This window comes from Homo sapiens, chromosome 1 (genome assembly GCF_000001405.40).
Source record: "Homo sapiens chromosome 1, GRCh38.p14 Primary Assembly".
NCBI lineage: Eukaryota > Metazoa > Chordata > Mammalia > Primates > Hominidae > Homo > Homo sapiens.
In genome coordinates this window covers 213184588-213197536 of record NC_000001.11, presented here as the reverse complement: position 1 = coordinate 213197536, position 12949 = coordinate 213184588, and the positions used below count along the sequence as shown (strand labels likewise).

Here is a 12949-nt window from a genome sequence, read left to right as displayed (position 1 = left end):
CATACATACATACTTAGGAATACACCTAACCAAGGAGGTGAAAGATCTCTACAAGGAAAACTACAAAACACTGCTGAAAGAAATCACAGATGACACGAAAAAATGGAAACACATCCTATCCTGATGGACGGGTAGAATGAATATTGTGAATATGACCATATTGCCAAAAGCAATCTATAAATTCAGTGCAATTCCCACCAAAATGCCATAATCATTCTTCACAGAACTAGAAAAAAAGAGTCCTAAAATTCATATGGAACCAAAAAAGAGCTCACATAGCCAAAACAAGACTAAGCAAAGAGAATAAATCTGGAGGCATCACATTACCCAACTTCAAACTGTACTACAAGGCTATAGTTACCAAAACAGGATAATACTGGTATAAAAACAGGCATGTAGAGGCCGGGCACGGTGGCTCATGCCTGTAATCCCAACACTTTGGGAGGCTGAGGCGGGTGGATCGCCTGAGGTCAAGAGTTCAAGACCAGCCTGACCAACATGGAGAAATCCTGTCTCTACTAAAAATACAAAAACCAGCCAGGCATGGTGGCACATGCCCGTAATCCCAGCTACTCAGGAGGCTGAGGCAGAAGAATTGCTTGAACCCAGGAGGCGGAGGTTGCAGTGAGCCGAGATCGCGCCATTGCACCCCAGCCCGGGCAACGAGAGCAAAATTCCATCTCAAAACAAACAAACAAAAAAAGGCATGTAGACCAATGGAACTTAGAAATAAAGCCAAATATTTACAGCCAACTGATCTTCAACAAAGCAAACAAAAACATGAAGTGGGTAAAGGACACCCTAGTCAACAAATGGTGCTGGGATAATTGACAAACCACATGTAGAAGAATGAAACCAGATCCTCATCTCTCGCCTTACACAAAAGTCAACTCAAGATGCATCAAAGACTTAAATCTAAGACCCGAAACCATAAAAATTCTAGAAGATAACATCAGAAAAACTCTTCTAGACATTAGCTTAGGCAAAGAGTTCATGACCAAGTACCCAAAAGCAAATGTAATAAAAACAAAGATAAATAGATGGGATGTAGTTAAACTAAAAATTTCTGCACAGCAAAAGAAATAATCAGGAGAGTAAACAGACAAGCCAGAGAGGGGGAAAACATATCTGCAAACTATGCAACCCACAAAGGACTAATACGGAGAATCTACAAGGAAGTCAAATAAATCAGCAAGAAAAAAACAAATAATCCCATCAAAAAGTGGGCTAAGGACATGAATAGACAATTCTCAAAAGAAGATATTCAAATAGCCAACAAACATATGAAAAAATGGTCAACATCACAAATTATCAGGGAAATGCAAATGAAAACCACAATGCAATACCACCTTACTCCTGAAAGAATAACCATAATTAAAAAATCAAAAAAAAATAATTTTTTGGTGTGGATGTGGTGAAAAGGGAACACTTCTACACTGCTAGTGGAAATGTAAACTAGTATAACCATTATCGAAAACAGCATGGAGATTCTTTAAAGAACTAACAGTAGAACTAACATTTGATCCAGCAACCTGAGTACTGGGTATCTACCCAGAGGAAAAGAAGTCATTATATGAAAACGACACTTGCACACACATTTATAACAGCACAATTTGCAATTGCAAAAATATGAAGCCAGCCTACGTGCCCATTACCAACAAGTAGATAAAGAAAATATGGTATATATATACACACACACACACACACACACACACCATGGAATACTACTCAGCCATAAAAATAATAAAATAATGGCATTCACAGCAACCTGGATGGAGTTGGAGACCATTATTCTAAGTGAAGTAACTCAGGAATAGAAAACCAAACATCATACGTTCTCACTTATAAGTAGGAGCTAAGTTATGAAGACGCAACAGTATAAGTATGATATAATGACCTCTGAGGACTCAGGAGAAAGGCTGGAAGGGCAGTGAGGGAGAAAAGACTATACAATGGGTACAGTATACAATGCTCAGGTGATAGATGCACCAAAATCTCAGAAATCACCACTAAAGAACTTATTCATGGAACCAAACACGACCTGTTCTCCAAAAACTATTGAAATAATTTTAAAAGACAGACCAATAAACACGTTACGAATTTTTAAAACTTTTTATTTCAGAAATAATTGTAGAGTCACTAGAAAGTTGCAAACATTGTACAGAAAATTCCCACGTACCTTCCATTAAGTTTTCTCTAAGGGCTACATTGTATGTATCTACAGTATACTATTATAGGCAGAAAATTGACACTGGTATTATGTGTGTACATATTAATAGTTCTATGTCATCTTATCAATTGTATACATTCTCATAACCACAAGCACAATCAAGACCCAGAAGTGTTCCACCAGGATGCTCACTCTGTGATTCTCCTGTTAAATAAATGTGTTTGCCTTTTCTCCAAAAGGGACAAAAACAAAAAAACTAGAAAATTAAAAAACAAAAGTGTTGCATCACCACAAACCTCTCCCTGCTGCTATCCCTTGCAAATCACCCCCTAACACACACACACCCTTCTCTCCTCCACCATCTCTAATCTAAACACTGGCATCCATAGATCTGTTCTCCATTTCCATAATTTTGTCATTTTAAGAATGTTATATAAACCAGCAGTCACCAACCTTTTTGGCATCAGGGACCAGTTTCATGGAAGACAACTCTTCCACAGACTAGTGGGGGTAATGGTTTTGGGATGAAACTGTTCCACCTCAGACAATTTCTCTTGGGGACAGGGGGTACATGTAGGGCATGGTTTTGAGATGATACTGTTCTACCTCAGATTATCAGGCATTAAGAGTCTCATAAGCAGCACGCAACCTAGAACCCTCGCATTCACAGTTCACAATAGGGTTTGCGCTCCTATGAGAATCTAGTGTTACCACTAATCTGACAGCAGGCAGAGCTCAGGTGGTAAATGCTCACTTGCCTGCTGTTCACCTCCTACTGTGAGGCCCGGTTCCTAACAGGCGATAGAGTGACACCTGTCTGTGGCCCAGGGATGGGGGACCCCTGGGTTATAAGGCAGTACTTGCAAGCCTCCTGGTAACTTCAAATCAAAAAACTTACCATAGATACACAAAAAGTAAGAAGCAAGAAATTAAATCATACCATCAGAGAAAAATCACATTCACTAACAGGAATACAGGAAGGAAGGAAAAAAGGAAAGACCACAAAATCACCAGAAAACAAAATGGCAGAAGTACGTCCTAAACTATCAACAATAACATTGAACATAAACAGATTAAACTCTCCAATGAGAAGACACAGAGTGGCTGAATGGATTTTAAAAAACCCAATGCTGCTTTGCCTACAAGAAAACCACTTCACCTATAAAGACACACAGGCGGAAAATAAAGAGATGGAAAAAGATACTCCATGCCAATGGAAACCATGCAGAGCAGAAGTAGCTATATTTACATCAGACAAAATAGATTTCAAGACAAACTATAAGAAGACACAAAGGTAATTATATAATGATAAAGGGGTCAATCCAGCAAGAGGATGTAATAATTGTAAATATATATGCACCCAGCACTGGAGCACCCAGATATATAAAGCAAATATTATTAGAGCTGAAGAAATAGACCCCAAAACAATAATAACCGTAGGCTGGGCATGGTGGCTCACTCCTCCAATCCCAGCACATTTGGAGGCTGAGATGGGCAGATCGCTTGAATCCAGGAGTTTGAGACTAGCCTGGGCAACATGGCAAAACCCCATATCTACAAAAAATGCAAAGCTAGCTAGGCATGGTATTGCGCACCTATAGTCCCAGCTACTCAGGAGGCTGAGGTGGGAGGATCGTTTAAGCGTGGAGGTTGCAGTAAGCCGAGATCTTGCCGCCACACTCCAGCCTGGGTGACGTAGTGAGACTCCATCAGAAAAAATAAAAATAAAAACTAAAAAAAACTATAGACCTCAATACCCCACTTTCAGCATCAGACATATACTTCAGACAGAAAATCAACAAAGAGGCCAGGCATGGTGGCTCACGTCTGTAAGCCCAGCACTTTGGGTGGCCAAGGCGGGTGGATCACTTGAGTTCAGGAGTTCAAGGCCAGCCTGACCAATGTGGTAAAACCTCATTTCTACTAAAAATACAAAATTAATTAGCCAGGCATGGTGGCATGTGCCTGTAATCCCAACTAATCATGAGACTGAGGCAGGACAATCACTTGAACCCAGGAGGCAGAGGTTACAGTGAGCCAAGATAGTGCAACTGCACTGCTGCCTGGGCAACAGAGCGAGTCTCTGACTCAGAAAAAAGAAAAAAGAAAATCAAAAAAGAAACATCAAATTTAATCTGTGTTATAGGCCAAATGGACCTAACAGATATTTACAGAACACTCCTTCCAATGGCTATAGAAAATACATTCTTTGCCTCAGCACGTGGATCATTTTCAAGGACAGACCATATGGCAGGTCACAAAACAAGTCTCAAAACAGTTAAAAAAAAAAAAAACTGGAATAATATGAAGCATCTTTTCTGACCACAATGGAATAAAACTAGAAATCAGTAACAAGAGAAATTTCTGGAAACTACAGAAATACACGGAAATTAAGAAATATGCTTCTGAATGGCCAGTGGGTCCACAAAGAAACTGAGGAAAAAAACTGAAAAATTTCTTGAAACAAATAATGGAAACACAACATCCCAAAATCTATGGGATACAGCAAATGCAGTACTGAGGGCAGTTTACACCTGGAAGTGTCTACATCAAAAATAAAAGAAAAATGTAAAATAAACCACCTAATGATGCATCTTAACCAGAAAAGAGCAAACCAAACCCATAATTAAAAGAAAAGAAATAATAAAGATTAGAGCAGAAATAAACTTGAAATGAGAAAAACAATACAAGAGATCAACAAACCAAAAAGTTGGTGTTCTGAAAAGGTAAACAAGATTGACAAACCTCCTAGAGACATACAACCTACCAAGATTGAACCATAAAGAAATCCAAAACCTGAAGAGATCAATAACAAGTAATGAGATTGAAAGCATAATAAAAAGTCTCCTAGCAAGAGAAGCCCAGGTCCCAATGGCTTCACTGCTGAATTATCCCAAACATTTAAAGAACACCAGTCCTACTGAAACTACTCTGAAAAACAGAGGTGGGAATACTTCCAAACTCAGTCTATGAGGCTAGTATTACCCCGATATGAAAACCAAAGATACATCAAAAAAAAGAAAACCATAGAACAACATGACTGATGAATACTGATGGAAAAATACTCAACAAAATACTACCAAAGCAAATTCAACACATTAAAAAGATCATTCATCATGACCAAGTGGGATTTATCCCAGGGAAGCAAGGATGATTCAACATATGCAAATAAATTAATGTCATACATCATACCAACAGAATGAAAGACAAAACCCATATCATTTCAACTGATGCTGAAAATGCATTTTACAAAATTCAACATCCCTTCATGATAAAAACCCTCAAAAAACTGGGGATAGAAGAAACTTACCTCAGCTGGGTGCAGTGGCTCACACCTGTAATCCCAGCACTTTGGGAGGCTGAATCGGGCAGATCTACAAAAATACAAAAATAAGCTGGGCATGGTGACACGTGCCTGTAGTCCCAGCTACTTGGGAGGCTGACTCAGGAGAATCGCTCGAACATGGGAGGCGGAGGTTGCAGTGAGCCGAGATCATGCCACTGCACTCCAGCCGAGCGACAGAGCAAGACTCCATCTCAAAAAAAAGAAGAAAAAACTTACCTCAACATAATAAAAACCATATACGACAGACCCATATCTAGTATCACACTGAATGGGGGAAAAACTGAAAGCCTTTCCTCTAAGATCGAGAATATAACAAGGATGCCCATTTTCACCACTGTTATTCAATACAGTACCAGAAGTCTTTGCTAGAGCAATCAGACAAGAGAAAGAAATAAAGAGCATCTAAATTGAAAAGGAAGAACTCAAATTATCCTTGTTTACAGAGGATATGATTTTACATTTGAAAAAAATCTAAAGACTCCCCTAAAAAACTATTACAACTGACAAACAAATTCAGTACAATTGCAGGATACAAAATCAACATACAAAAATTAGTAGCATGTCTATACGCCAACAGCAAACAATCTGAAAAAGAAATCAAGAAAGTAATCCCATTTACAATAGCTACAAATAAAATTAAATACCTAGGAATTAACCAAAGAAGTGAAAGATCTCTACGATGAAAACTATAAAACACTGATGCAAGAAAATTGAAGACACACAAAAAAAGGGAAAGATATTCCATGTTCATGAATTAAAAGAATCAATATTGTTAAAATAACTACACTAAAGGAATCTACAGATTTAATGCAATCTTTATCAAAATACTAATGGCATTCCTCACAGAAATAGAAAAGGCAATCCTAAAATTTATATATAACCACAAAGACCCAGAATAGCCAATGCAATCCTAAGCAAAAACAACAAAACTGGAAGAAACACATTACATTACTTTAAATTATACTAAAGAGCTATAGTAACCAAAATGGCATGGTACTGGCATAAACACAGACACAAAGATCATGGAACAGAATAGAGAACCCACAGATAAAGTCATATATCTACAGTGAACTTATTTTTGACAAAAGGTGCCAAGAAAATACACTGGGGAAAGGACAACCTCTTCAATACACAGTGCTGGGAAAACCGAATATCCATATGCAAAAGAGTGAAACTGAATCCCTATCTCTCACCATACACAAAAATCAAATCAAAATTGATTATTAAAGACTTTAATCCCTCAAGCTATGAAACTAAAAGAAAACACTGGCGAAACTCTCCAGGACATTGGAATGGGCAAAAATTTATTGAGTAATACGCTACAAGCGCAGGCAACCAAAGCAAAAATGGACAAATAGGATCATATCAAGCAAAAAGCTTTTGCACAGCAAAGAAAACAATCAAAAAAGTGAAGGGACAATCCACAGAATGAAAGAAAATATTGGCAACCTACCCATCTCATAGGGGATGAATAACCAGAATATATAAGGAGCTCAAACATCTCTATAGGAAAAAATCTAAGTCTAATTTAAAACATGGACAAAGGATGTGAATGGACATTTCTAAAAAGAAGACATAAAAATGGCAAATAGGCATATAAAAAGCTGTTCAACATCATTGATCATCAGAGAAATGCAAATCAAAACTATAATTAGACATCATCTCACCCCAGTTAAAATGGCCTTTATCCAAAAGTCAAGCAATAATAAATGCTGGCAAGGATGTGGAAAAAAGGGAGCCCTCATACTCTTGGTGGAAATCTAAATTAGTACAACCACCATGGAGAACAGTTTGGAGGCTCCACAAAAACCTAAAAATAGAGCTACCTTACCCTCCAGCAATCCCACTCTTAGGTATATACCCAAAAGAAAGGAAATCAATAAATCAAAGAAATACTTGCACTCCCATGTTTACTGCAGCACTATTCACAATAGCCAAGATTTGAAGCAATCTAAGTGTCCATCAACAGATGAACGGATTTTAAAAATGTGGTATATATACAAAATGAAGTACTATTCAGGCATAAAAAAGAATGAGATTCAGTCATTTGCAACAACATGGATAGAAGCTGAGGTCAAATTACATTAAGTGAAATAAGTCAGGCACAAAAAGACAAACTTTGCATGTACTCACTTATTTATGGGAGTTAAAAATTAAAATAATTGAACTCATGGAGACAGAGAGTAGAAGGATGGTTACCAGAGGCTGGAAAGGATCGTGTAGGGTTCGGAAGGGGAAGTGGGAAGGGACAATGGGTACAAAAAATAGAATTAATAACAACTAGAATTTGATAAAACAACAGAATGACTATAGTCAATAACAACTTAATTGCAGATTTTTAAATAACTAAAAGAATATAACTGGATTATTTGTAACACAAAGAATAAATACTTGAGGGCATGGATACCCATCTCCCTTGATATGATTATTACACATTGCATCCCTGTATCAAAATATCTCATATAACCCATAAATTCATACACCTACTATGTACCCACAAAAATTAAAAATAAAAAAAATTTAAGAAGTGTGAGGATATGTCAACGTACACTTTTTTTTTTTTTTTTTTTTTGAGACAAAGGCTCACTCTGTCACTCAGGCTGGAGCGCACTGGCATGATCTCGGCTCACTGCAACCTCTGCCTCCTGGGTTAAAGCAATTATCTTGCCTCAGCCTCCGGAGTAGCTGGAATTACAAGCACCCATCATCACGCCTGGCTAATTTTTGTATTTTTAGTAGAGACAAGGTTTCACCATGTTGGCCAGGCTGGTCTCGAACTCCTGACCTCAAGTGATCCACCCACTTCGGCCTCTCAAAGTGCTGGGATTTCAGACGTAAGCCACCATGCCTGGCCAAGGTACACTTTTATTGCTAGAGAATACCCAGTTACTCTAGCAATATTTGTTGGAAATATTAACCTTCCTACATTATACTGATTTGAACCTATGTCAAAAATCAATTAGCCATATTTGTGGGACTATGTCTACATTTTGTATGCTGTTCTCTATGTGTGTGTCTCTATACCAGCACCACAAAATCTTGATTACTGTAAAGTCATGAAATCAAACAGAGTGACTCTCCCACCTTACTCTTTTTTGAAAACTATTTTAGCTATTATAGTTCCTATAACTTCCCAAATAAGTTTTAGAATAATCGGGTCTATATTTACATTTAAAAAAAAAAAAAACCTTGCGGAAAATTTGATAGAAACTCTGTTTAAAACTGTGTATCAATTTGGAAAGAATTTACATCTATGGTGAGTCTGCTAATAAATATGTTTCTCCAATAATTCAGACCTCTGATTTCTTTCATCAGTGCTATGAAGTTTACAGCATAAAAGCTCCTATGTCTTGTTATATTTACATCTAGTAATTCAATATTATTATAAAGGTATTGTATTTTTAATTCCAGTTTTTATGTGTGCATTGTTCATACATAGAAATATAAGTGCAAGCTGTTTTCACGCCCCCCTCTCCAATAGAAAAACAAACAAACAAACAAATATGTAAGTGCCAAGATTTTTACCAGTAACAACATGGAATTCAAATATGAGAATGAGATAATTCCTGGGGCCGTGGAGAAGTAAGAAAAAAACAAACAAACAAACAAAAAACAACTCTGAACAGATGGCAAGGGAATCAGACCTCCACATCTGTGACACCCCTCCCCCTCCATTCTGCCTGGCACCAAGCAGAAAATCTCACCCTCCCTCCACCCAACTACATTTCTATAACTGTAAAAGGTAAGACTGAGGGGGTCATCCAGGTTCCCCAACATCTTGGGTTCCCAAGCAGGAGACTTGTCCCCACCTTAATCCATGGGAAGCATCGTGACTGCCTAAAGGGAGAAATACTCCTGAGGACAGGCAGAGACAAAGACAGGAGGTGGGACTATCACCCCCAACCCTGGAAAGTCTGCTCTGCTACTCAGCAAACAGAGATGCCCAATCTGAGAGGCTGCTCAGCAGAAGAGGTATGGACTCCTGGGCACAAACCTCTAGCTAGCCTTAACACACTGCCAGCCTAATCCCTTTGGGACCTCTCACCTTCAGAGCAGGCATCACTCTGATCATTTACCAGAGCTGAGGTCAACCCAAGCTTAAGGTACCTCCTAGAGCTAAAAAGAGGCAGTTACCTAGATGTAAAGATTCACTAAGCAAATATATCCAGTAGAAACCAAAACAAGATGGACAGAAAAAAAACTAGAATAAATAACTATTCTATAAATATCTATTAATAACTATCCTTCAATGCAAAGACATAAAATATACCCACAAGAAACAACAGCAAACAGGGAACCATGACCTCCCCAAAAGGACAAAACAAAAATCCGGCAACTGATCCTAACAAGAAAGCAATTTGTGAGTTCTCTAACCACAAATTCAAAATAGTAGTTATAAGGAAAGTCAGCGACCTCCAAGATAACATACAAAAGCAACTCAAAAATTTATCAAAGAAATTTTAAAAAAGAAATTAGGCCAGGCACAGTGGCTCATGCCTATAATTCTAACACTGTGGGAGGCCGAGGCAGGTGGATCACTTGAGGCCAGGAGTTCAAGACCAGCCAGGCCAACATGGTGAAACCCCGTCTCTACTAAAAATGCCAAAAATTATCCAGGCATAGTGGCGCATGTCTGTAGTCTCAGCTACTTGGGAGGCTGAGGCACGAGAATCACCTTAACCTGGGAGGTGGAGGCAGCAATGAGCCAAGAACCACTGCACTCCAGCCTAGGTGACAGAGTGAGATCCTGTCTCAAAAAAAAAAAAAAAAGAAGAAGAAGAAAAAAATTTAAAAAAAAGAAACTGAAATAATCTTTTAAAATCAAACAGAGGCTAGGCATGGTATAATCCCAGCACTTTGGGAAGCCAAGGCAGGAGAACTGTTTGAACCCAGGAGTTCAAGACCAGTCTGGGCAACATAGGAAGACCCCCATCTCTACAAAAAAAATTAGCCAGGTATGTTGGCACAAGCCTGTGGTCCCAGTTACTCCGGAGGCTAAGATGGGAGAATCACTGATCCTAGGCAATAGAGGATGAAATGAGCCATGATTGTGCCACTGCAGTCAAGCCTAGGCAATATGGTGAGACGCTGTCTGAAAAACAAAAAATCAAACAGAAGTCTTCGAACTGAGAAACACATTTGCTGAACTGAAGAACTTCCTGGAGGCTCTCAAAGCAGATGAATGAAGCAGAGGAAAGAACTGGAAAGCTCAAAGACTGGCTATCTGAAAATACATGATCAGAAGAGAAAAAAGAAGAGTAGAAAAGAATGAAGCTGCCTATAAGATATTAAAAATTATCTCAAAAGACCAAAGCTAAGAATTATTAGTGTTCAAGAGGGAGCTGAGCAACACCAAGGGCTAGAATGCTTACTCAAAGAAATAACAGAAATTTTTCCGAAAGATATACATATCCAGATACAAAAAAATCTCAGAACACAAAATAGGTTCAACCCAAGTAAGACTACCTCAAGGCATAATAATCAAACCCTCAAAGGTCAAGGGCAAAGAGAGGATCCTAAAAACAACAAGAGAAAAGAAGCAAATAACATATAAAGGACCTCCACATTGTCTGACAAGACTTCTCAACAGAAACCACGCAGACAAGAGTGAAACAACATTTTCAAAGTGCTTAAAAAACAAACCAAAAATAAAACTGCCATCCGAGAATACTGTATTCAGCAAAATTATACTTCAGATATGAAGGAGAGAGAAACTATTTCTCAAACTAAAGCTGAAAGAATTCACCACCATCAGATCTACATTATAAGAAATGCTAAAGGGAGTTCTTCAATTTGAAGGGGAAAAAAAAAAGGTTTAAAAAAAAAAAGAAAAAACACTGGTGAAATTAAGTATATAAACAAACCCAGAATCCTATACTACTGTTAACAGTGATGCAAAATCCACTGATTTTATCAAATTACCTGATTTTATCAAATCAGGTAATATAGAAAATGAAAAGTGAGACAACTAAAACTCAAAATGTGGGGGTGATGATGTTAAACTGCAGATTATTTTTGTGTAGTTTTTTTTTTTGCCTTTGTTTCTATTCTTATTATTTGTGACCTAAGATGAACTGTCTCTTGTTATATTTGTAAGATATTTTTTGTAAGCCTCATGGTAACTGGCAACCACAGCACAAAACCCATAAGACACTCCCTAAAATAAAAAGCTACAAATTAAAACATACTACCAGAGAAAAGTACTTACCCACAAAGACAGACAGAACCACAAAGGAAGACAAGAAAAAAGACAGGAGTGTCAAAATAACCAGAAAATAAGCAGGAAAAAAAAAAGATTGTTAAAATAAAGTAAGTCCTTACTTATCAATAATAATAATAATACTGAATTTAAATTTTTTTTTTCTTTTTGAGACAGAGTCTTGCTCTGTCACCCAGGCTGGATGGAGTGCAGTGGCGCAATCCCAGCTGACTACAACCTCTGCCTCCTGGGTTCAAGTGACTCTCCTGCCTCGGCCTCCCACGTAGCTGGGATTACAGGCATGGACCACCATGCCTGGCTAAGTTTTGTATTTTTTAGTAGAGATGGGGTTTCACCATGTTGGCCAGGCTGGTCTCAAATTCCTGACCTCAGGTGATCCTGCCCACCTTGGCCTCCCAAAGTGGTGGGATTACAGGCATAAGCCACTGTGCCAGGCCTTAATTCTCTAATTAAAAGGCACAGAGTGGCTGAATAAAGAAATAAGACCCAACTATATGCTGTCTTCAAGAAACCTACCCTACCTATAAAGACACATAGACTGAAAGTGAAGGGGTGGAAAAAGATATTCTATGCAACTGGAAAACAAAAAAGCACAGGAGTAGCTCTACTTAGATAAAACAGACTACAAATCTAAGATTGTAAAACCAAGCATATAAAATAAACATAATAGATCTAATAAAGAAAAGACAGATTGCAATACAATAATAGTAGCAGACTCTAACTGCCACTCTCAGTAATGGACAGATCATCCAGCGGCAAATCAACAAAGAAACCAGAGTTAAACTACACACTAAATCTAATAGGCCTACTGACATTTTCAGAATATTTCACCCAACAGTTAGAAAATACACATTCTTCTCATCAGCACATGGTACATTCTGTAGAACAGACCACAAAATAGGCCATAAAACAAGTATGAGCGAATTTTTAAAAAAATCATGTCAAGCATCTTTTCTGACCACAATGGGATAAAACACAAAATCAATAACAAGAGGAACGTCAGAAATACAGAAACACACGGAAATTAAACAATATGCTCCTGACTGACCAATGGGTCAATGAAGAAATTGAGAAAATTAAAAAACTTCTCGAAACAAATGAAAATGGAAATACAACATACCAAAATCTGTGGGCTATGGCAAAATCAGCACTAAGAGAAAAGTTTATAGCAATAAATGCCCAATTTTTTTAAAAAAGAAAAATTTCAAATAAT

At 37.8% G+C, this 12949-nt stretch overlaps 1 protein-coding gene across 46 annotated transcripts in view; it reads right to left on the bottom strand.

Annotated features, from left to right (window-relative positions):
- Positions 1-12949, bottom strand: part of RPS6KC1 (ribosomal protein S6 kinase C1) — an 811495-nt gene that overhangs the window by 665199 nt on the left and 133347 nt on the right. The window lies entirely within an intron of this gene.